General features: G+C 49.2%; 1 protein-coding gene and 1 long non-coding RNA gene across 9 annotated transcripts in view, besides 2 other annotated features; one reads left to right on the forward strand and one right to left on the reverse strand.

The window, feature by feature from the left end:
- The window catches only part of DLG5 (discs large MAGUK scaffold protein 5), a 149,946-nt gene that overhangs the window by 122,393 nt on the left and 2,480 nt on the right, over positions 1-25,073 (reverse strand). For 7 of the 8 annotated variants that reach the window (XM_005270276.5, XM_006718056.4, NM_004747.4 and 4 more), the window contains exon 1: positions 13,034-13,572. The exons of the other annotated variant lie outside the window; for it this stretch is intronic. In XM_005270276.5, coding sequence (XP_005270333.1) covers positions 13,034-13,337 — 304 coding nt within the window. In that variant the 5' untranslated portion in view covers positions 13,338-13,572. Of the gene's footprint in view, positions 1-13,033; positions 13,573-25,073 lie in introns of those variants that run through there. 8 annotated transcript variants of the gene reach the window in all.
- Positions 7,428-7,722: an enhancer, noted in NCBI's record as "tiled region #2984; K562 Activating non-DNase unmatched - State 14:Gen5'". NCBI's record gives its function as "activates a minimal TATA promoter and a strong SV40 promoter by Sharpr-MPRA in K562 cells {active_cell/tissue: K562}" and the evidence as "EXISTENCE:reporter gene assay evidence [ECO:0000049][PMID:27701403]".
- DLG5-AS1 (DLG5 antisense RNA 1) lies at positions 13,629-16,642 on the forward strand. Its single transcript, NR_024585.1, has one exon. It is a non-coding gene; the product is annotated as a DLG5 antisense RNA 1 (long non-coding RNA).
- Positions 15,265-15,441: a silencer, noted in NCBI's record as "fragment chr10:79688206-79688382 (GRCh37/hg19 assembly coordinates)". NCBI's record gives its function as "represses an EF-1alpha promoter that drives an FKBP-Casp9 reporter gene in an ReSE screen in HepG2 liver carcinoma cells {active_cell/tissue: HepG2}" and the evidence as "EXISTENCE:reporter gene assay evidence [ECO:0000049][PMID:32094911]".

Below are 25,073 nucleotides of genomic sequence, written 5' to 3' on the forward strand. Positions count from 1 at the left end.
ACAGTTTCAGGATTGCAAGTCGCCACCTAGAACAGTCCACTCCAGAGCTGGATAGCACCAATCATTTTTAAAAGTTCTTCCTGAAACAACCGGCCTGGGCAAGGGGAGCTGCCAGGGATTATAAAACAGACTTCAGAGACAACATCAACTAAATGCAGTGGGTGGCCCTTGCTAAAATCCTGATTTTAATAAGCCACCAATAAAATGACATCTTTGAGACAAGCAAAACTGAGCATCACCCGGGCAACTTGATAACATTAAGAAATTATTATTAATGCCTCATCTCTTAGAGACACATCTTTAAGTATTTATAAGAAAAATGACATGCTGCCTGGGATTTGGTTGGGAGAGATGGGTGATTGTTACATTATCCTCTCTGTTCTTCCACATGTGTGAATGTCTTTTTCATTTTTTACTTTTTTAGAGCTGGGGTCTGGCTCTGTCTCCCAGGCTGGAGTGCAGTGGTACACTCAGAGCTCACTGCAACCTCAAACTCTTGGGCTCAACCAATCCTCCCGCCTCAGCCTCCCGAATAGCTGGGGATACAGGCAGTGTCCCCTTGCTCAGCTAATTTTTTTTTATTTTTGTAGACATGGGGTTTTGCCGTGTTGCCCAGGCTGGTCTCAAACTCCTGGGCTCAAGGAATCCTCCTGTCTCGACCTCCTAAAGCGCTGGGATTACAGGTATAAGCCACCATGCCTGGCTCTTGAAAGTCTTTAATAGAATTTTAAAAGGAAGAAAGACAGGGAGGGAGAATGGTTCTTCCTTAAAATGAACTCAATTCTACCTCCAAGTACCTTCTGGCAATCAGACCATGTTCAGCTTTCTGGGATCAAAGAGAATCAGGTCTTATCACATACCCTGCACCATCTGAAAATGAGCAGCATCTAAGTCCCTCTAAGTATCCTTTCCTCAAAAACAAGCTCTTCAAGGTCCTTTTGGAACTGAACTCACAGGTCACAGCAATGCCCTCCTTAAAAATGTGGGCTTCAGGACCAAAGAATTGTGAAGGTGTCTTTTGAGCAGCCCAGAGAAGCATGGGCCTCCTCGTCCACTGCAGGCCTCTGCCTTGGGCATCTCCCATTTGAACTCCAAGTATGGCCTATGCCCTGGGATGCCTCCTGATTCCATGCACAGGCTGGGAGCTTGTTCTCTACTCAGGGACAAGCTACCCCCAGTAGCTCCAGAGGCGGCAGCAGCAGCTTGCTCCTGTCTCACCTAAATCATCTCCACCCTCACCAAAGCCCTGGGTGAATATTATTAGCCCCTCTTCTACAGATGGGGAAGAGAAAGCAGGCCCAGGAGGTTAAGCGACTTGAAGTCACACAGCTTAGGAGTAAAGAGCTAAGATTTAAGCCCCAGTCTGTGGGGGTCCCCAAGAGTGGACTCATGACATTCAGATGTCTCCAGTCCCGCAGCCTTGCTCCCTGGCTCCAAACCCACCAAGAATGCCCCCTGGGTCATTCATCCATGTCCTTCTCCTCCCAGGAGTAACATAACACTCTGAAAGCAGAGACCACCTTCCCCACCTCCTAGCCCAGAACCTCCCAGGGGCTCAGCAAAGAGTTGCCCAAAACTTAACCAGTCCCAGACCTGCAGCCGCCAAACCACCAGGATGGCTCTCCACAAATCTTTCCAAGGCTCTCCCAGAAACCCCAACTGTGGCCCAAAGCCCAGTTCTCTTCACTCATTTCTAGTCTCTAGAGCAATTCAAAGAATAATGATCACAAAACCAGGCTTCATTCTTGGCGAACTCCATAGGGGAAACAGGACCAGAGAAGACACACATCTATAAAATAATGACTACTAGCCCCAGAATCACATGTGACTATTTCAGCTGGTATCAGAATTTAAAAGACTAGGGGCTGGGCACGGTGGCTTGCACCTGTAATCCCAGCACTTTGGGAGGCTAAGGTAGGTGGATCACGAGGTCAGGAGTTCAAGACCAGCCTGGCCAAGAGAGTGAAACCCCATCTCTACTAAAAATACAAAAATTAGCTGGGCGCAGTGGCAGGCACCTGTAATCCCAGCTACTTGGTAGGCTGAGGCAGGAGAATTGCTTGAACCCGGGGGACGAAGGTTGCAGTGAACCAAGATTGCACCACTGCACTCCAGCCTGAGCGACAGAGTGAGATGCCGTTTCAAAAAAAAAAAAAAATAGGAACGTTTAGTGTTTTGGTACTCTGAATGAGAGGGCTAGGGGAAACGTAAAAAAATGATGGTATACGTTGATGCTCCAGTTTCACACATTAATGTTTTAATTTCCCAAAAATGCATTCCTCAGAACACTGATGTCGCAAGATGCTCCATGATAAAGGACTCTGTGGTTAAATCAGTTTGGGAAACACTGCCTAATAAAGCCACTCTAGTGAAGCCCCAAAGCACACTGGCTTAGCCCTCTCAAGGGGCCTGCAGAAAAGAACCTAGCACTGCCTGGATGCATTTGACCACAGAACCCTTTTAGGGCATAGCAACACTAACATCCCAGCAAACTAGCAGTTAGAAGATGTTTCTTTGGGAAATGCTGATCTAGGCCTTTTGAAAGAAAGTCTCAATAGCCTTGTTATCCCGGATTTGAGACTGAAAAACCAAACCAATCCTAAACGGGATAAGGAGGAAGTATCCAAAGAGCAAAAATAACGAACATGCTTCAAGGCCTTTAGGGATGAAGATGTAAGTACTGAAAACACAAAGAAAATGTGTGAACATTCCTTGGCTGCCAGATATGAATGCCACTAGGATTGTTTGGTTAATGTCTGGCCTCCAAAGAGTCACATGTAGGACAGGTGTGGTGGCTTATTCAATAATGGATTGTTTGAGGCCAGGAGTTCGAGACCAGCCTGGGCAATATAGTGAGACCTTGTCTCTACTAAAAATAAAAAAAAAATTAGCTGGGCATGGTGGCACACGCCTGTAGTACCAACTACTCAGGAGGCTGAGGCAGGAGGATTGCTTGAGCCCAGGAGGTTGAGGCCACAGTAAGCCATGATCATGCCACTGCACTCAGCCCAAACAACAGAGCAAGACCCTGTCTCAAAAAAGAAAAGAGTCACAGATAACTACTGAACTGTCCTAAGACTTTCCAAACCATATCTGAAGGAAGAAAAAAAATTTTTTTTTTTGTAAGACAGAGTTTCGCTCTTGTTGCCCAGGCTGGAGTGAAATGGCACGATCTCAGCTAACTGCAGCCTCTGCCTCATGGGTTCAAGCACTTCTCCTGCCTCAGCCTCCCAAGTAGCTGGGATTACAGGCACACAACCACCACGCCCGGCTAAATTTTTGTATTTTTAGTAGAGATGGGGTTTCATCATGTTGGCCAGCTAGTCTCGAACTCCTAGCCTCAGATGATCCACCCGCCTCAGCCTCCCAAAATGCTGGGATTACAGGCATGAGCCACCACGCCCGGCCAAAAACAATTTTTAGAAGAAAAAAAGGAAAGAAAATGCTATCCACCCCCATGTCAGGGTGCTGTGAACAGTATGGATTTCCTTAATTAAAACTCAGAGTAAACAGTATGGTACCTTCTCAAAAAATTGAACACAGAATTACCATATGACCCAGCAAGTTCACTTCTGGGTATAAACCCAAAAGAAGAGAAAGCAGGGACTCGAAGAGATATTTGTACACCCATGGTGTCATAGCAGCATTATTCACAATGGCTAAAAGGTGAAAACAACCCAAATGTGTCCATCAACAGGTAAAGAAACAAATAAAATATAGAATATATATATATATATATATATGAATATTATTCGGCCTAAAAAAGGAATTTTGACATATACTAAAATATGGATGAACCTTGAGGACTTTATGCTTAGAGAAGTAAGCCAGTCACAAAAAGACAAATCTGTATTGACTTCACTTATAAAAGATACCTAAAGTAGTCAAATTCCTAGAAACGGACAACTTGAGAGGCCAAGGCGGCCAGATCGCTTGAATCCAGGAGTTCAAGACCAGCCTGGGCAACATGGCAAAGCCCCGTCTCTTAAAAAAATACAAAAACAAAAAATCAGTCGGGCATGGTGGCGGGCGCCTGTAGTCCCAGCTACTCAGGAGGCTGAGGTGGGAGAATGGCGTGAACCCGGGAGGCAGAGCTTGCAGTGAGCCGAGATCGCGCCACTGCACTGCAGCCTGGGCAAGAGAACGAGACTCCATCTCAAAAAAAAACAAACAAACAAAAAAAGGAGCTGGGTGTGGTGGCATGTGCCTATAGTCCCTGCTACTCGGGAGGCTGAGGTGGGAGGATCAATTGAGCATGGGAGGTTGAAGCTGCAGTGAGCCATGAGTACCACCGCACTCCATGCATTCCAGCCTGAGCAACAGAGTGAGACTCCATCTCCAAAAAAAAAAAAAGAAGAAAGAGAGAGAGAGAAAGACAGCAAGAAAGAAAGAAAGAAAAAAAGAGACAGACAGGAAATATTCATATAATGGTGACTGTCAAGGTCTAGGGGGCCATGTAGTTATTATTCAATAGGTACAGAGTTTCGATTTTGCAAGATGAAAAATTTCTAGAGATGGATGGTGCTGATGTTTGCACAGCAGTGTACAAATACTTAATGCTGGCTGGGCGCAGTGGCTCACGCCTGTAATCCCAGCACTTTGGGAGGCCGAGGCGGGTGGATCACCTGAGGTACGGAGTTCGAGACCAGCCTGGCCAACGTGGTGAAACCCCGTCTCTACTAAAAATACAAAAATTAGCCAGGCGTGGTGGTGGGCACCTGTAATCTCAGCTACCCGGGAGACTGAGGCAGGAGAACCCAGGAGGCGGAGGTTGTGGTGAGCCGAGATCATGCCATTGTACTCCAGCCTGGGCAACAAGAGCAAAACTCTGTCTCAAAAAAAAAAACAAAAAACAAAAAACTTAATGCTACTGAATTTGTACACTTAAAAAGTTATTAAAATAGTAAATGTTATATATATTTTTCCACAATAAAAAATGGTTCAAGGCCGGGTGCGGTGGCTCACGCCTGTAATCCCAGCACTTTGAGAGGCCAAGGTGGGCGGACCATTTGAGGTCAGGAGTTCAAGACCAGCCTGGCCAACATGGGGAAACCTTGTCTCTACTAAAAATACAAAAAAATTAGCCAGGTGTGGTGGCACATGCCTGTAGTCCCAGCTACTTGGGAGGCTGAAGGAGGAGAATTGCTGCAACTGGGGAGGCGAAGGTTGCATGAGCCGAGATCGCACCATTGCACTCCAGCCTAGGTGACAGAGTGAGACTCTGTATCAAAAAAAAAAAAGGTTCAAATGGTAAATTTCATGTTATGTAAATTATTATCACAATTTTGTTTAAATCCTCAAAGCAAATGGGTTATGAGCCTTAGTGTGAAATGAACGTCAAGGTCAACAGGAATTATCTACCAAGGGTTTAGAGGGATAGACTGCCAACATGGGACGCTCCAAACATCTCTATTTGGTTTAAAATGTTTCTGTAGCACTTTTGTGGAACGCAGTCTCAAAAAGATCAATAGAGATACACCGTTCAGAGGAATGCAGTCTATCCCAGGTAAAAGGCGAAAAAAAAATCCAATTTCCCCCCAGCGCAATCCCATTTAAGATTCTTCCCTGCTGAACACACATAGCATCCCTACTGTCCAGGCCAACACGCAGCTCAGCCCTCTTTCTCTATGTTTGCTACCTCTGTGGCTCACATCTTCCCAGGGTTTCAGGAAACGACTATAGAGCCCCCTCGCATGGGGCAGAACATACAGGTGGTTGGAATGAGGTGGGACAAAAAAAAATGAGACAACGGCCGAGAGTGGTGGCTCATGCCTATAATCACAGCACTCTGGGAGGCTGAGGTAGGCGGATCACCTGAGGTCAGGAATTCGAGACCAGCCTGGCCAAGATGGCAAAATCCCGTCTCTACTAAAAATATAAAAATTAGCCGGGGGTGATGGCACACACCTGTAATCCCAGCCACTCGGAAGGCTGAGACAAGAGAATCACTTGAACCTGGGAGGCAGAGGGTGCAGTAAGCTGAGATTGCACCACTGCACTCCAGCCTGGGCGACAGAGCAAGGCTCCATCTCAAAACAAACAAACAAAAAAAAAACTGAAACAAAATATTTATCCTACTCTGCTTACTTTTTCAGGAAATGGAAAACCAGAGTATCAAAAACCACTCAACACTAACATTAAATCAGATTAACAGCAATCCTGATGTAGAGCTGGAAGGGCCCCCAAAATCGAGTCCAACCCAATCACCCAACCTCCTTGGACCAAATGCCACCTGGGAAGTGCTCAAAACCCCACAGGAATGAGCAAGTCTCCCGTCAATGCTCAACCTCTTCTGTTTTGACTGTTGAACTGGGGGAAAAAAAAAAAACAAGCACCAGGAAGCTAAAAGGCTCTGCCAAGGTCAAGATTTTGCAGTTAGGAACAGATCTCCAGTTCAGGGCTTTTTTTTTTTTTTTTTTTTTTTTTTTTAAAGAAAAGTTCCTCAGTATTCTTTTGAGGACATCAAGTTGACATTCAAATTCTATGTGTAGAAAGGGAATGACTTTCTACTCTTAGACAGCGTGGGTGCTCCACATGGCTCCTGGCAGCCAGCTCCACACCACCAGTACCTGATGGGCAACCTTGGGAACTTCAGACATCAATGTCACACCACCTGCTTCCATCACAGACATACCGTGGGCGGTGATATCCCTGTGTACATCTGGGGCTTGCTCAAGCCTTCCTCCTCTCCCACAGCCTCTGCCACCATGAGGTCACCACTTAGGAATCTGCATGTATATTTGAAGATGATCTGGACAAGGATACATCATTCACTCTACACACAGCTGACTATTCATTCGTTCAACAAAAAATTATCGAACACCTATCTTGTACTAGGCTCTATTCTGGGCATGAGGACTATAACAGCAAATTCAGCTCAGGGAGGACAGCTCTGACACCTGCTTGGCATAGTATACAAGGAGCTCCCACAGAACCCTCAGAAACACCAGGAGATTCCCAGTTTTCTGGTTCTAAGGCTAGTTGCTGTCTACTACTGCCACTGTTGTGCTATATTACTCAGGGTAACAAAATGCTCTTCCATTTTTCCTACCATGGATTGTCAAATAGCACAGTGAAGTAGTTAGTGTTTTAATTACTTTGTAGAGGAGATAAGCTCAGAAGGGTTAAAAACCTTGCTCAAGGTCTAAAACCTTGTAAGGTCTGATCATTACTACCTAGACCCACCATCCCACTCCAGCAATGACCGCCTGTGCTAACTGTATTATCGCACAAAGGTGGTAATGCTTGGAGTGGACATTCATCTGCTCTTTTACCTGCGTGACATCGCTGCTGCTTGTCTTCCTTTAGACAACTGCTCTGCCTCCCTCTAAAAACCCACATAGTGTTGGAATGGGCTGCCAATCACAGTAGCCCATCACCTTACCCTGGGGTTCCACTGCTGGGCACAGTGCCAAAGCTGAGCCAGTCTTAGTCCTCTAGCCCTGGCCACAGTGACCGGGCCTCATGTGGACACATAACACTGGCCAGACCAATCAGAATCCTACCATGAGGTTTGTCTGCCTGGGCTGATTGGATAGAGCTCCCTTTCTTCCCTGGTCAGGGGCTGTGAACCTGAACAGAGGGGCCTGAGGTCATGTTCAGACCCGTGGGAAAAGCCCACAGCATCGATCCAAGAGGTCAAACGTCCCAAAGGCCAGTTTCCACCATCCATCCAAAGGTTGTGGAATATTCTAAGTCAATACATTTCTCTTTTTCTACCTAAGATGATCTGAGCTAAGTTTCTGTCATTTTGCAATAAAGGTACCCTGAAATGATACACAGATAAAATCTGCCCTTCACTTAAAAACCTCTTCTCAACCATTAATTTCAAATGACTCTGCCACTTCCTCTTAAATAACACAATTAAAACCACCTAAATTAGCCATGCAGGGTGGCATGCGCCTGTAATCTTAGCTACTAAGGAGGCTGAGGCAGGAGGATGGCTTGAGCCCAGGAGTTTGAGGCTGCAGTGAGCTATGATTGCACCACTGCACTCCACTGTCTCTAAAAAATAAGTAAATAAACAAACAAAAGAACCAAAAGAAAAACCACAACAGCTGGAGCTTTTACTTATGTCCCTTGCCCTGCTGACCCTCCAGGGCAGAGGGGATGAAGAAAAGGTGGCTGGTACCCGAAGGAAGTGGAGAGAGAACAAAAGGCCAGGCAACCTCTGCTGAATAATAAATAACCCACACCTGACAATCAGCACCCATCTGCATTAGTCCCACTAGAAAAGCCTGGCAGGGTTATTCCCTTGGGGAAAAAAAACAAACTTCCAGCTCTAATTTCTGACAGTGTACAATGCCTAAATTCAAACCTCCCACTCAGCCTAGCCATTAAGGTCCTCCAGATTACCTCTGCATCCCCAATTCCCTTCCACCCAGAGCCAAGGCCAAACCCCTGCTCTGCTCAGGCTGGGTAAACACATGGCTCCTCTCTATGGCTCAGCCTGTGCGGTCCAGCCTACGCAGCCCACACGTCCTCCCTCCATGGCTCCATGCATTCAGAGCTTCACTTCAACACCAAGTCCCAGCACATTCGTGAAGCTCTCCTCGGCTTCTCCAGCGGACGCTGCTGGCTCCATTCTCTTAAGTTTGATGAAGCAAGCCAGCCAGTTCACTAGGAAAGTAAAGAGGAGGCACAGGAGGTGTGGGGAGTGGGAACGAGAAGGAAACATCAGGCAATGAGCACGCGAGAGGTCCAGCCAAGTTCTGCCATTTCTGCCTCCCAATAGAGGCCTGGTGGGAATGACTTGAGGAGTCCCACATTTAGATGGTAATGAGAGCCACTAAAGGTGAATGAGAGTATCTGGGGAAAGTGTGTAGCATACCGAGTTTTTTATAAAAGAAAAAGCCTGTTTGTGCATCTCTATCAGTTGACCTGTCTCATAATGTCACTCTCATGAGCGTCCCATTCCCCCAACAAGGCGGCAAGCTACGGACTAGAATTACATCCTGTGCACCCCGGCCCCTGTCTACACCCCAGCCCCACCTGGGCCAGGCACTTCAATGCTCCCGGTGACAGAGGCAGGCAGTGCAGCACCATTAGCCCCATCTTACAGATGAAGATACTGAGGCTCACCCCAGGGGCAGGGAGTTGAGAATCCTCAAGGGAAAAAACTCAGGTGTTTCCCCAAATCAAAGGGAAAAAACAAAGGACTGCATGGGGCTCCAAGTGACCAAGCTAGACTTGGTTACTGGGAAAAACAAGAGACCCAACTGAGCCACTCAGAAGTAAACAATTCTGTCTTCTCCCTACCACCAGCTGGGGCAAAGGTGTTCGCTTGTTCCCCGCAGATCCATGTATCAAATCCGGGACAAAAGAAAGCTACATAATTTCAGAGTCCCACAGTGACTGGAAATGTCCTGAAATTGTAGTGGGAAGGCCTAACCAGGGAACAGGAAAAACCACCCCAGACAAGGAATCAGGGGCACTGGGCTTGGCCTTGACTCAGGCACCTTTCTGCCCTGCGACTTCTTCCTTACAGACAGGGCCCTGGAACCAAAGATCATAAGACACCACTCATCTCCCTGGGGCTGCCACAGAGTTAATGAGATATGAAGATAGGACACAAAATCCTGAATGACAATGCCCTATCAATACCGGAATAAGAGCCACACCTCCAACAAAAAAACCACAACACAGTGTGTCTCCTAGTCACTCCACACCCCCAGGCCTGAGCGTGGTAGGTTTAAATGTCTGGGGATCTAACTCAGCAAGAGTTGCCCCGATGGGTTGGGTTTGCTCACCTGCCCACCAACACCCAGGCACATGTCCTCCCCAGTTTCCTTCCAGTTCCAGGCCCCACGTGGTAGGCTGCTGCCGATGCAGACTCCCTCAGCACCCAAGTGCCAGTGGGGGATGGGCATTCTGGATCAGGAGCCCACACAGGGTGTGGAATCCATCAAGGAAGCTCCTAGGTGGGTGATGGCATCATCTCCAACAGAGAATCGGTGCCAAAGCAGCCACCCCTTGACGCTAAGGATCCCAGGGAGCCAGCTGGTTCCTCTCTCAGGCTCCGCAATGGCCTCGAACTGAGGCCAATTCAAACCCAGAGCTGCTGCCCAGAGCACAGAGTGGAAATCACTCAGGAGTGGAAGGAGGCAGGACCAAGTGCTGGGTTTTCCTGACTATGGCTCCTCAAGGAAGAAGACTTCCATTCCTTCAGCCAGAGCCGCTCTCTTATGCACTGAGCTTTGACCATAAGGAATACTTCCTGGCTAAAAGAAAAAAAAGCAAAAAAGTGGAGACCTACAACACAGCAATTTACCCTTCACAAAGGAGCCTCCCCTGCGCCGGGGCAGTGGCTCACGCCTGTAATCCCAACACTTTTGGGAGGCTGAGGCAAGCAGATCGCTTGAGCTCAGGAGTTCGAGACCATCCTAGACAACATGGAGAAATGCCATCTCTACACAATATACAAAAATTAGCTGGTGTGGTGGCATGTGCCTGTGGTCCCAGCTACTTGCGGGGCTGAGGCAGGAGGATGGCTTGAGACCAGGAGGCGGAGGCTGCAGTGAGCCGAGATTGTGCCACTGCACTCCAGCCTGGGTGACACAGTGAGACCCTGTCTCAAAAAAACAAAAGCCCCCAACACGCCACTGTTTGCTGACACACCATGTCACCCTCTTCCCCAGGGGCTTCAGGTGGCATCTTGCCATACCAAATGCTGTCCTAACTTTTTTCTTTCTTTTTTTTTGAGAAGGAGTCTTGCTCTGTCACCTAGGCTGGAATCCAAGGGCACCATGTCAACTCACTGTAACCTCCACTTCCCAGATTCAAGTGATTCTCCTGCCTCAGCCTCCCAAGTAGCTGGGACTACAGGCGCCCACAACCACGCCCAGTTAATTTTTGTATTTTTATTAGAGACGGGGTTTCACCATGTTGGCCAGGCTGGTCTCGAACTCCTGGCCTTAAGAGATCTGCCCGCCTCGGCCTCCCAAAGTGCTGGGATTACAGGCATGAGCCACCACACCCAACCAGCGTTTTTCTAATGCATTAAGTAAAATGAACTTAACTTCTCCTTGAAAAGTATTTTTCTAAGGATTTCATGACCCTCTCCAAAGTCACATAACTCTGCATTGTGGTAAAACTGGGGTCTGAAATCAATGCCCTAGGGGATAAAATCCAAACCCTAATCTCTGCCTTCCTTAGAGGTCAAGACTAGCTCCTAGAACTTCAGCCCCATGAGGCCCCACATTCTCCACCAGACACGGAAAGGGTGAGACCTAATTAATGGCAATTGATCCATCAATCAATTTTCAGAGATTAAGGCGAGCGTTGATTCACATGCTTCCCAACGCAGACTTCCAGTCTGTACTAAGTTCTGTGCTTTACGAAAGACTTTCAGAAACAGATCTTAACTTCTTCATTCAGAGATAGATTAGATAGATACATAGATACAATTAAAAAGAAAAAAATTACTTTGTTGAGATCCCCTCTGTCCTTATCCTCATGGCCACATCTGACAGTCCCTTCCTAGCATCTCCCAAAGCACTATCCCAGGAAAGGACTAGGTTTGCCCAGTAACTCTGACATGACCACAACTGGGGGGAAAGAATGCAGGTTTGAGGGACAGAGATGCAAGTCAGAAGCTCAAAGTGGAGACGGGAGGGCCACCAATGAAATGACCTGCTGTGTGGCCAGCAATTTAGTCTCTCTGTCAGTTTCCTGCAGCTACAAAAATTGAGGTTAAGATGGCCAACGTAAGAGAGCTGTTACCAGGAATGCCTTATAAAATCATTCCCTTAATAAGTGGGGCTTTTAACAGCCAAATAAATGGGTCCCATCAGCCTTTGACCTTCAGGTTGCTAAGGGCAGTTTCTCAGCCCTCTCGGTTCACTTGTTTTTCTTTTATACATATATCCTTATTTATTTTTACTGTACCTATCGATTCACTGTTAAAACAGGGACAAGACCTAGAAAGATGGCACTTTGTTTCCTGGCTCTGAACAAGTTAAATCAAACAATAGGTTATAATTCAAAATTCCTGGTGCCCAATACTTTCTGAGCATTTTAACCACTCCAAGCCAGAGTTTTCTCTCTGGCAAAGAATAACAGAAAGCTCACATAGTGGCAACGACAACTGAACGTGATAAAGCAGAGCGCCTGCCACAACAGTAGATGCCCAATAAATGCTAGTTCTCCTCCTCCCTCAGTGCCATGTCTTCTTCCTCCAGCTGCCTTGTCTAAAAAGGCTGGCTTCCACACTCCACGGCCAGGCCAGGACAAGCCTACCACTTGTCAGAAACTCCCGCCAGTATCCGTTCCTGCACCCAGACACACACTTACAAATCAGTCATCCCCAAGACCAAAGACACAGGGGTTCCAAAAGGCACCCTCAAGGGAACCAGTCACCAGCCTTCCTCGTTAAGCAGCTCTGTGCTCTCAGGGAGAGAACTTAGCCCCAGCAGCCACTACTAGGATTTTCCCATGGTGCAATGCAACTTCCCCAACTTTTCCGGGCCCAGTTTCCAAAGAAACCCAGGCAGGCGTTGTGCACAATCAGCCACCAGTCTGGGAGAGACTGGGCTCTGAGCAGAGAAAAAGGAGCTGGGACAGCCAGAAAATGAAAAAGCAGTTGTGGCCCCGGCACAGGATGGCAGCGACCAAAACTTAAGAGTAGGGGTCCTGGCCCAAGTCCCATTCTTCTGGACGGTACCCTTGGTTAAAGGCTAGCACAGGGTGCCAAAGCTAGCGGACGGTGAGGAGCCTCAGAAAAGGGACTGATGGACATCCTCCGAGGTACCCCCTACCCGCTACTGGACCTGGTGGCCCCCGGGGACCCTGTCGTCGAGGCACCTGAGAGTGAAGGCCTTCAGCGGGGGGCATTGTTCACAGCGAACGGCGGGACTGGGGGAGGCGGCGGGACTTCGGGATCCGCGCACCGCCGCCTCCCCAACTGGGCCAGAGGAGCGAGTCCACCGAGGCCATCGCCAGGTGGAGCGGCGGCCCCGGCGAGGTACCCTCGGCCAGCAGGAGGGAGAAGCGGAGGGCGCGTCCCAGAGGCGGGGGCCAAGGGTCTGCCACTCACCCGCGCCTTCGGCGGGCTGCGGCGGCCCGACGACGCCGTTCAGGTAGAGAATGGGCAGCAGGTGAGGCTGCGTCTTCTCCAGCGCCGCCCGCAGGTCCTGGAAGTGGTCCCGCTCCTTGGCCAAGAGCAGCTTGAGCAGCAGCTCCGCCTTGGCGCCTCCCGCCTCCTCGTCCAGCTGCCGCCGCTCGCCGGGACTGAGCGCTCCCGCGGCCTCGAGCAGCCCGAGCACGGCTTCCACCTCCGTCATGGCCTGGGCCAGGCTCTGCTGACACTGGGCGAGCAGCTCCCGGCGCTGGGGCTCCATGGTGGCGGGCCGCGCCGCCCCGCCCCGCCGGACGCCTCCCGGGCCCCCCGAGGCCGGCGGGCGGGCAGGCGAGCACCTCGGCAGCAGCCCTAGGGCGCCGGGAGCCGTGAGGCGGCGGGAGCCATGGGCCGGGGCCTGGGCGGGCTGGGGGCCCGGGGCGGCGGGCGGCGCTCAGCAGCGGCCGCCTCCCGGGCTCCGGAGCGCAGCCATGTTGGCTGCCGCGGCGGCGGGACTGGAAGAGGAGGAGGAGGAGACGGAGGAGGAGAAGGAGGAGGCGGAGGTGGGGACGGCGGCCGGGGCGCGCCCCGAGGCCGGGCTCCAGCCGGGCATGCTCCCCCTCCCCCTCAGCCTCCGCGCGCGCCGCCCGCCCCGCGAGAAAACTCGCCCCGAAAGCCGGGCCGCGCGCCGCCCCCAGAGCAAGACTACAACTCCCGGGAGAAAGTCGCCTGGGCCGTGTTTCCCAGGCTCCCGACAGCTCCGGCCCGGCTCGGAGGCCGCCTCGGCCCCCGTGCACCCCGGCCCGGCTCACCGGGGCCCCGCGGCCGCCACCCGCTCCCCCGTGGCCACAGCCCCGCCGCCGCCGGCCCGTCCCTCCTCTCTCCCCTCCCCAGGCCGTCCCTCCGGGAGGCGGCAGCAGGGGAGGAGGGGACGGGCGGAGGGGAGGGGTCCCCGGCCCGCCCGCTAGGCGGGGACGCGGCGCCGGCTGGTTCCCGGTCCCCCGAGGCCCAGGCGCAGCCGGGGGTGGGGGACACGGAGTCAGGCCTGGCACGCGGCCAGCCCACAAGCTGCTGGAGACCCCCTCATACAAATCTTGCCCCCAGTCCAGAGGGTCCTAATCTGAGAACTCCAAAATACAGCCTGGAGACAAATGGTGGGGAGGGTTTCCCCTAAATTTGGACATCTCCAGATTAAGACCTCCGCCGAATCCGTGAGGCTTTCCCTCTCCAAGGAGCTCCTAAGAGAATTTCCCAGTAAAATCGCCTCAACTGCGGTAAATAGGCTGTTCCCCGCGCCAGCATTTGAGAAGAGCTGGTCCCCAGAGTGTAAAGGAGTTAGGATGTTGGCAGGAGGAAGGATGTGTCGCCGGATGAGGAAAAGAAAGGTGGGTGTCTGCGGTGCAGTCCTTGGTCTTTCTGGCAAGTGAGGCGCTCTCCCCCTAAATGTCTCAGAGGGAGACAAATCAGCGGACTACCTTGCTTCCTTTGATGACTTGGAAAGGATCTGCAGTCCCCCTTAAAGCCCAAGAATGTCTTCTCTTCCACGACAGCCGTTTGTGGACACATACTGCTTACCTCCCTGACTGCAGGACAAGGTCCTTCAAAGCTGGAACTCTGACTGCGCTCAGTGATCCCGCAGTGCTCCTCTGTAGAGTGGGAACCCAGGTCCATTTCAAATATCTACGTTGGAATGAGTGGATCTCGCTGGGGGTGAGAGGCACTTTGTCTACCCACACTGCCAGTCCCAGCCACATGCCTCCTCCCTTCCCTCAAAAAGCAGTGTCTTCTTAGTCTGCTTCTTCAAGGGGAGAAGTCGTTTTTATTTATGGAAACGAACTCACTATATGGTAGAAAGAACAAGAGTATCAGAATTTGCACTTTGGACTTGGACTCCCCTCTAAGCAGCTGCACAAGGTGGAACAAACCAATAATCCTTGCTGATCTGTTTTGTCCTTAGGAAAAATGGTGGAGGGAGAATATTAGATCAGGGGTTCTTAGCCTTGGCTTCATGAATAAGCTCAAGGATGTCAATGAAGCTTTTGACATGATCTCAACTTTTTTGTGAACATTTATATATTTTTCTGGAATGGGGTCCATAGAGTTACAAGTTCTTTAAGACCTCCAGATGGACCCCAATATGGCAGAAATGAACTATTTAAAGATACCTGCCTGCTCCCGTAGTCTGACCCTCTATGGCTAAGCAAGGTTTTAGAGGAGTGGAAGGCTGGCCATTGCACAGTATCAGGGTTCCAGACAGGCTCCCTGGCTCTTCCCTCCCAGTCCTGCTCCTGAGATATAGTTCTTTCTGGCCGCCACTTCCCTTAGGGCAACCCCAGAGCTTAAATCATCTGCAAGGCAGTCACCTTTCAGGCACCTTTCATCCGGCACCTGTGTTCTTAGCTGGATTAACTAGAAAGCTAGTTGGAGGAAGGAAGGTGAAAGTGGAGGAAGGGGAAAAGAGGAAAAGTTGGAGACGAATCTGGCTTATGGTTAGAAGCATATTTTTTGGCCAGGCAAAGTGGCTCACGCCTGTAATCCCAGCACTTTGGGAGGCTGAGGTAGGCGGATTGCCTGAGCTCAGGAGTTGGAGACCAGCCTGGCCAACGTGGTAAAACCCCGTCTCTAACAAAAATACAAAAATTTAGCCAGGCATGATGGTGCAAGCCTGTAATCCCAGCTGTTCAGGAGGCTGAGGCATGAGAATTGCTTGAACCCAGGAGGTGGAGGTTGCAGTGAGCTGAAATTGCACCACTGCACTCCAGGCTGGGTGACCGAGCAAGACTCTGTCTCAAAAAAAAGAAAAAAAAACTTATTTTTTGAGACAGAGTCTCACTCTGTCGCCCAGGCTGGATTGCAGTGGGGCAAACACAGTTCACTGCAGCCTCAATTTCTTGGGCTCAAGCAACTATCCTGCCTCAGCCTCCCGAGGAGTAGCTGGGATCATAGGTGCTTGCCACCACACCTGGCTAATTTTTTAAATATTTTGTAGACACAGGGTCTTGCCACATTGCCCAGGCTGGTCTTGAACTCCTGGGCTCAAGTTATCCTCCCGCCTCGGTCTCCCAAAGTTCTGGAATTACAGATGTTAGTTACCACCCGGACCAATTTTAGGATTCCTTTAGCCAGTGACCTTGGTGTGACCTTGTACTTCTGCAGCATTTTATACCTTCTGCGGCACACCCTTGTAGTGGGTCGAATTGTGTTCCCCCAAAAGATATGTTCTAGTCCTAATTCCCAGTACCTGTGAATGTGACTTATTTAGAAATAGGGTCTTTGCAGATGTAATCTAGTTCAAATGAGGTCATACTGGATTAGGGCGGGTCCTCATCCAATAACTGTTGTTCTTATTAGAATAGGGAAATTTGGATGCAGAGACACAGAGAAAATGCCATGTGAAGATGGATCAGAGACAGAAGTGATGCGGCTGCAAGCCAAGGAATGTGAAGAATGGCCAGCCACCACCGGAAGCTAGGGGAGACGCCAGCACAGATTCTCCCTGAGAGTATCCAGAAGAAACCAACCCTCCAACACCTGGATTTCAGACTTCTGACCTTGAGAAGTGTGAGCCAATAAAACAACTGCAGTGGAGTCAGTGGTTCTTGTTTTAAGCCACCCAGTTTGTGGTCATTGGTTATGGCAGTCCTAAGAAACTCAAACTCACCTCAGCACAGTGGGGAGGTGAGAAGGACAAAGACGGGGGTCCCTATTTTACAAATCACCCTATCACTTCACTCTTCTACTGCCTAAGGACATCTCTGTAGATTTACCCACCTTTCCTACTTTCTTCTGGTCTTAGAAAAAGAGAGCTCCTTGTCTTTAAGGAGAGCCCTTCCATGCTCTGGATATAATCTGTGTATCCCTCTCCTCCCCTGCACACACGCACTCACACACAGTCTGCTTCTGCTTTGGTTTGGGCTCCTTCTCATTTGTCAAAAACAGGCTTGAGTCTCCCCATTCTCAAGGGTCCTCCCTTTCCTCTCATGTTTCCTTCGGAAACAATCATTGCTTGACATTGGGACCTCCACATCTCATAGACTGCTCACCGCTTGGTTGGTGCTTTACAATCAGCTTCTTTTTTTTTTAATTCTTGTGTTTGCTTTTTTTAAATTTATTTTATTTGTTTTTCTGGAGACAGAGTCGCACTCTGTCACCCAGGCTGGAGTGCAGTGGCGTGATTTTGGCTCACTGCAACCTCCACCTCCCGGGTTCAAGCGATTCTCCTGCCTCAGCCTCCCGAGTAGCTAGGACTACAGGTGCACACCACCAAGCCCGGCTAATTTTTGTATTTTTAGTAGAGACGGGGGTTTCTCCATGTTGGCCAGGCTGGTCTCGAACTCCTGACCTCAGGTGATCCACCCGCCTCGGCCTCCCAAAGTGCTGGGATTACAGGCATGAGCCACCAAGCCCAGCCTATTTATTTATTTTATTCATTTATTGGAGACAAGAGTCTTGCTCTGTCACCCAGGCTGGAATGCAGTGGGCTCACTGCAACCTCTGCCTCCTAGGCTCAAGTGATTCTCCTGCCTCAGCCTCCTGAGTAGCTGGGATTACAGGTGCGTATGACCACACCTGGCTAATTTTTTTTTTTTTTTTTTTTTTTGAGACGGAATTTCACTCTTGTTGCCCAGGCTGGAGTGCAATGGCATGATCTCAGCTCACCGCAACCTCCACCTTCCAGATTCAAGCGATTCTCCTGCTTCAGCCTCCTGAGTAGCTGGGATTACAGGCATGTGCCACCACACCTGGCTAATTTTGTATTTTTAGTAGAGACGGGGTTTCTCCATGTTGGTCAGGCTGGTCTCGAACTCCCAACCTCAGGTGATCTGCCCTCCTCGGCCTCCCAAAGTGCTGGGATTACAGGTGTGAGCCACCACACCTGGCCTTAATTTTTGTATTTTTAGTAGAGATGTGGTTTCACCATGTTGGCCAAGCTGGTCTTGAACACCTAGCCTCAAGAGATCCACCTCTTGGGCCTCCCAAAGTGCTGGATTATAGGCGTGAGCCACTGTGCCCCGCCCTATTTATTTATTTTTAGAGATAGATTCTTACTCTGTCTCCCAGGCTGGAGTGCAGTGGCACCATCATACCTCACTACAGCCTCTAACTCCTCAAGTGATCCTCCCACCTCAGCCTCCCAAGTAGCTGAGACTGCAGACACCATCATCACACCTAGGTATTTTTTTTTTTATTTTTGTAGAGACAGAGTCTCGTTATGTTGCCGAGGCTAGGTTCAAACTCCTGGCCTCAAGCTATCCTCCTGCCTTGGCCTCCCAACGTGCTGGGATTACAGACATTAGCCACCATGCCCCACCTATAATCAGGCTTCTGAGCACAACTCCCCATAGAAAACTGTTGTCTCCCATCCTGATGCCACCTCCAGGCCTTATCCTTCACACCTCCTCTACTGTCAACTCTGCTGGGCTTCATCCACTGGGGACATCTTGTTCTCCCACCTTCCTCTCCCTCCCCCCTGGCTCCTTTCTCTCTAAGGTTGACTCTTCAATCCTCTTCTGTCCCCATGCTCCTTCCCTCCTGCAGAGGAGCTGGACAGAAATGAGCTCAGTGCCCAGCTCTGACACTCACTGGCTATGTATCCTGGGGCTAGGTACTGTACTTCCCGGAGCCTCAATTTCTGCATCTCTAAAGTGGCAATAAATATCACCCTTTGGTAGGGTTATTAGGAGAAGTAAATGATAGGACTTATACAAAGCCCTCCACAATGCCTGGTGTCTGGCAGGCATATAAACTCCCTAATGTTAGAGCAGGCAACTCCTGTAGGTCAGAATGCCTGACTGAAATGCTGGCTTGGCAACTTATGAGCTGAGCGATGTTGGGTAAACCTCCATCTGCCTCGTTTTCCTCCTGTGTGAAATGGGGATGTCAATAATAGTATCAAAGTAGCTAGTGCTGAATCCGTGGTAAGTACCACTGTTCTTTTGGCTTCCCTCTGCGAGGAAAGACTCCACAGCATGTAGCAACAGGTTTTGAACAGATGTTTTTAGTTTCATGAATGAGTGGTTGTGGACTCTAGCTGAAAGATTTCCATTTAGCTTGTCTTCAGACAGTGAGGCAGGGGCCCCCAGTACCTTGTTATCTGCTGTATCTCCACAGCACTGTACCGGGCATGTGGTAGGTGCTCAATAGATAGTATTTTTAATTAATAGGTGAACATATGAATGAATGAACAAACTAAAGAGTTTTGCATTGAGGCCCTACTTCAAAATAATATCAACTAAAAATGGGAAGATGGGGAAGGAAAGTACCTCAAAAAGGAGAAGTGGCTGGGCGCCGTGGCTCACACCTATAATCCCAGCACTTTGGAAGGCCGAGGCAGGATTGCTTGAGCCCAGAAGTTTGAGACCAGCCTGAGCAACATAGTGAGACCAGAGTCTATAAAAAATAAAAAAGGAGAAGCATCAGAAGCAAAATGAGAGAAGGTCACAAATTCTCCCTGGTGCCACAGGAAATGGGTGGCAGGTTGGGAACTTAATGCAGGGACCATGAACTCTGCCCACTGCAGAGTGGCCACTGCTGGGGCGCTAAGCACCAGGAGCTCCACCCTGTCCTGCTTTGTCCTGCTGATAAACTTGGCCTACCAGGCCCCACTGCTCTTCCTAGCTGCTCAGGTGACTGAGGAGGAGGATTACTTGAACCCAAGTTCGAGGCCAAACAGGGTAACATAGTGAGACTCTGCCTCTAAAATATGTTCTTTGGGTAATAAAAAAGAAAAAAGATGCCCCTGCTCAGAAATTCAGACCTAAACTGATGGCACCAAGGCAAATATAGCCCTGAGGGCACAGTCCCCTCAAGCTTTCTGCAAGCACAGTGCTGTCTGGGAGCATTAACTCTTTGACTCTGAGCCCATTCTTCACACTTCAGCTTAGATGTTAACCTTTAGGAAGCCATACTTGCCTTACCAATCTCCTTGAAAAGGGTTTGGTGTCTCTGCTACATGCTCTCATTGCAACTTTTTACTCCCTTTATTAAGGTTTATCAGTGTGTATTTTTTGTTTGTTTTTGTTTTTGTTTGGGTTTTTGTTTTTGTTTTTTGTTTTTTGTTTTTTTTGAGATAGAGTCTCGCTCTTGTTCCCCAGGCTGGAGTGCAATGGCGTGATCTCAGCTCACTGCAACCTCCGCCTCCTGGGTTCAAGCAATTCTCCTGCATCCTGCCTCAGCCTTCCAAGTACCTGGGATTACAGATGCCCGCCACCACGCTCGGCTAATTTTTGTATTTTTAGTACAGATGGGGTTTCACCATGTTGGCCAGGCTAGTCTCAAACTCCTGCCCTCAGGTGATCCACCCCACTCAGCCTCCCAAAGTGCTAAGATTACAGGGGTGAGCCACGGTGCCCGGCTTATCAGCATAATCCCAGCTACTCGGGAGGCTGAGGCAGGAGAATCGCTTGAACCTGAGAGGCAGAGGTTGCAGTGAGGAGAGATCGTGCCACTGCACTCCAGCCCGGGTAACAGAGTAAGACTCTGCCTTAAAAAAAAAAATTGCGTTTCTTTTCTATATTCCTGTGATAAACAGAATAGCTCCCCTTCCAAGCTCCCAAAAGACAACCATGCTCCAGTCCCTGGAACCTGTGAAGATGTTTTGTTATATGGCTACAGGGACTTCACAAATGTGATTAAAGTTCTGTACTTTAAAATACGGAGAGTAGGCCGGGCACGGTGGCTCACACCTGTAATCCCAGCTACTTGGGAGGCTGAGGCAGGAGAATTGCTTGAACCCGGGAAGCAGAGGTTGCAGTGAGCTGAGATCGCACCACTGCACTCCAGCCTGGGTGACAGAGTGAGACTCTGTCTCCAAAAAAATAAAAATAAAAATAAAATAAAAAAGGGCAAGTAGGCTGGGCACGGTGGCTCACACCTGTAATTCCAGCATTTTGGGAGGCCGAGGTGGGTGGATCACCCGAGGTCAGGAATTTGAGACCAGCCTGACCAACATGGAGAAACCCCCGTCTCCACTAAAAATACAAAATTATCCGAGTATGGTGGTGCATGCATGTAATCCCAGCTACTTGGGAGGCTGAGGCAGGAGAATTGCTTGAACCTGGGAGGCAGAGGTTGCAGTGAGCCAAGATCACGCCATTGTTCTCCATCCTGGGCAATAAGAGTGAAACTCCATCTCAAAAAAAAAAAAAAAAAGAAAAGGAAAAAATAAATACATAAAGTAAAATAGGGAGAGTATCCTTGAGTATCCAGGCAGGCACAATCTAATCTGATAATGTGAGCTCTTAAAAGCAGAGAATTTCCTCCACCTGGAGGCAGTAGAAAGGGAAGTCAGAGAGATTCCAAGCATGAGAAGGATTTGACTGGTCACTATTGGCTCTGAGATGGAGGGGCCCACATGCAAGGAGCTAAGAGTGGTCCCCAGCTGACAGCCAGCAAGGAGCCAGGAACCTCACTCTTACAATCACAAGGAACTGGATTCTGGCAACAACTGAATGACCTTGGAAGTGGATTCTTCCCAGAGCCCTGGAGAAGATCCCAGCGGCTACCACCTTGATATCAGCCTTATAAAAGCCTGAGCAGAGAAACCTGCCAAGCTGACCTGGACCTGTCATCTACAGAGCTGAGAAATACTAAATGGGTGCTGTTCTTTTTTTTTGTTTTTTTGTTTTTTTTTTTTTTTGAGACAGAGTCTTGCTCTGTCGCCTAGGCTGGAGTGCAGTGGCACGATCTTGGCTCACTGCAAGCTCCGCCTCCCTGGCTCATGCCATTCTCCTGCCTCAGCCTTCCCAATAGCTGGGACTACAGGCGCCCGCCACCACACCTGGCTAACTTTTTGTATTTTTAGTAGAGATAGGGCTTCACTATGTTAGCCACATGGTCTCAATCTCCTGACCTCGTGATCCGCCCGCCTCGGCGTCCCAAAGTGCTGGGATTACAGGCAGGAGCCACCGTGCCCAGCCTTAAATGGGTGCTGTTCTAAGGCTCTAAGTTGGTGGGTTTTTGTTATGGCATTAGGAGACCAACAATCCCCAATGAGCTATGAGCTCTGTGGGAGCAGAAGAGACATCGACTTGTTCATTATTGTACCCTCTGTACCTACCTGCCTAGATATTGCCTAGGACACTGCCCTAGGCACTCAAAAACACCCTGTGATAGGAAGAATGGAAACCTACCCTTCCACCAGGCTTTGCTTTTGGAGAAGTTATCTGTGGCAGAATCCATTATTCCACTAGTGATTGGAGGGAACATTTTCAAATAAAGATACTGGATACAGGGCTTTCTCTGCAGGCTAAGTGAGCAGAGGCCCCACTCTGGCCTTGGATTTTATGTTTTAATGGATAAGCTACAGCTGCTCCCTGGAGAAACAGATCCTGGCGGTCTGCTCTGAGTGTGCAGCTCCTTTGGAAGTACACAAGGCTGCCAACAAGAGCATGTGTACATGTGTCTGTGCATGTTAGCGCATGCGTGTGCACACATAAGTGTCCATGCACTCACATTGACAAGAGTGTGAGGGCACTGTGAGCAGGAGAGGAACCATTTCCAGGTGCCTGTGGGTGTCTGTGAGTGCAAACTGCACACGTGTGAGTCTGAACACGTGGATGTGTGTGAGCAGAGGAGCAGTTGTTTCTAGGACAGGTTTCCTGTCCCACATGGGAAATTGCACGTGGCCCAACATCCGAGATGCAACATTTAAAAGGATTTCCTTCCAGAGTTTCTTAAAAGAATGAACTCCCCCAGGATGCTGAAAATGGAATTCTATTTAGGAAAATGCCATATTGCACACACCTTTTTAGGAATGCTATATCTATGAAATGAATTATGCCTGTTTGTTAAAAATTACCTTCAACTTGGCTCTTGGTAGCTTCTCAAATCATGAAGACATTTTTCTTCCAGACTGCTTTTGTTGTTAGTTCAGGAATGGCCCAGAGGCAAATATCCCAGGATTTTAAAACAGAGAATCTGGCTGGGCATGGTGGCTCATGCCTGTAATCCCAGCACTTTGGGAGGCCAAGGCAGGTGGATCACGAGGTCAGGAGATCGAGACCATCCCAGCCAACATAGTGAAATTCCATCTCTACTAAAAATACGAAAGTTAGCTGGGCGTGGTGGTGCATGCCTGTAATCACAGCTACTCGGGAGGCAGAGGCAGGAGAATCCCTTGAACCAGGAAGTTGGAGGTTGCAGTGAGCCGAGATCACGCCACAGCACTCTAGCCTGGCAACAGAGCGAGACTCCGTCTCAAAACAAAACAAAAAAAAAAAAAAAAAAAAAGGAATCTGAGAGAGGCCCAGACCTAGTCATGAATCTTGCCCAGATACCAAGGACAAGGCAAGATTCTGAGATGAGAGATTCAAAGCCTTTGAGAACCTCAGATTAATCCTTAGAAAGGACTAATGAATTATTAACGATGAAATAAATAAAAATACTATTTATTAAGTGCTTACTGTGTGCCAAGTTCTTGGCTAAGCCCTAAGGCTACCTAACCTCACTTTGCAAATGAAGAGCTAAGAAGTTGCTTGCCCAAAACCACACGTCAATTATTGTCAAAACTGGAGTGGGAATTCAAGTTTATCACCTCAATTCTTTGCAGCAACCCTGCGAGGCCTATGCCCTAGCTCCTCAGCTGTCATCCCTTCTTCCTGTTAAAACATTCCTACAATGTGTCTCTTTTACAGGAACCAGTTTGAAGTCACAGCTGGAAAGGATCTGACACTGTGATAACATCATCCTGGTTACTTCTCCCAAAGGATTGACACTTTAACCTGAGGCCTGAACAGCCTTCTCGGTGAACCCCAGTGAGCCAAGCAGATTATCTCCTGGTCAGCCTAGTTTTCCAATGCACAATGCCTCATGCATTGTGAGAGTCACCTCTTCAGAACAACATACCACTCCCTCAATTCCTCAAGAATATTCACTAGCTCCCCATTGCCTGCAGGGCATCCAGAGCTTGGCTGTCTTCTAACTCATCTCCTATTGCTTGGCCCAATGCTCCAGCTACTGACCCTCTCTGTCCTCCACCAATACAATGTGCCCCTTCTCCCCCAGGGCCCACTTCTGCCTCCTCTTTGCCTGTCCAAACTCCTCTCATTCTCTAGGGCCAGGAAACTCCTACTGACCTTGCCTTTCCCTCCCAGAAGTCCTGATGTGCTATGCTTTGAATTGCCTCTTCCTCTTTTGCCATTATCTATTGCCTTGCATCATTTGTAAGTTTGGCCTGGGATGTCTTTGCCTCCCAGACATGCTAGGGACAGGGACCCTGTGCTGTTATTTTTCTCATATCCCTCACAGTGCCTATGACAGAGGAAGGCCTGGAGTAGATGCTTCAGAAATACCTGAGAATTGAAAAAACCAAGGCAAGGGAAAGTGTGCCAAGGGGAGCTCTCATCTTTCTGTTCTTTAGGTCTCAGTTTAAAGGTTATTTTTGCATATCCCCACCTTGTTCCCACCTACCCCACAAATGACCAAAATTGGATTCTATGAGCAGTCATTTTCCTTCCTGGCATTCATCACATTTTATACTTTTTTTTTTTTTTTTTTTTGAGACAGAGTTTCGCTCTTGTTGCCCAGGCTGGAGTGCAATGGCATGATCTTGGCTCACTGCAACCTCCACCTCCTGGGTCAGGTGATTCTCCTGCCTCAGCCTCCTGAGTAGCTGGGATTACAGGTGCACTCAGCTAATTTTTTTTTTTTTTTTTTTTTTTAGTAGAGATGAGGTTTCACCATGTTGGCCAGGCTGGTCTCAAACTCCTGACCTCAGGTGATCTGCCCACCTCAGCCTCCCGAAGTGCTGGGATTACAGGCGTGAGCCACCGCGCCTGGCCATATTTTATACTACTTTTATGTGACTCTGTGTTTGCTGACTGCTTTCTACTAGACTCTAAGCTCCACAGAACACCTGTTCGGTTCACCTCTATATCCCCAGTATCTAGCTTGATGCACAATAGGGGCTCAAAACTATTTGTTGAGGCAGGGCATGGTGGCTCATGCCTGTAATCGCAACACTTTGGGGGGCCAAGGAAGGATGATCACTTGATCCCAGGAGTTTGAGACCAGCCTGGGC

The sequence above is a fragment of the Homo sapiens genome, chromosome 10, assembly GCF_000001405.40.
Source record: "Homo sapiens chromosome 10, GRCh38.p14 Primary Assembly".
NCBI classification, from domain to species: Eukaryota; Metazoa; Chordata; class Mammalia; order Primates; family Hominidae; genus Homo; species Homo sapiens.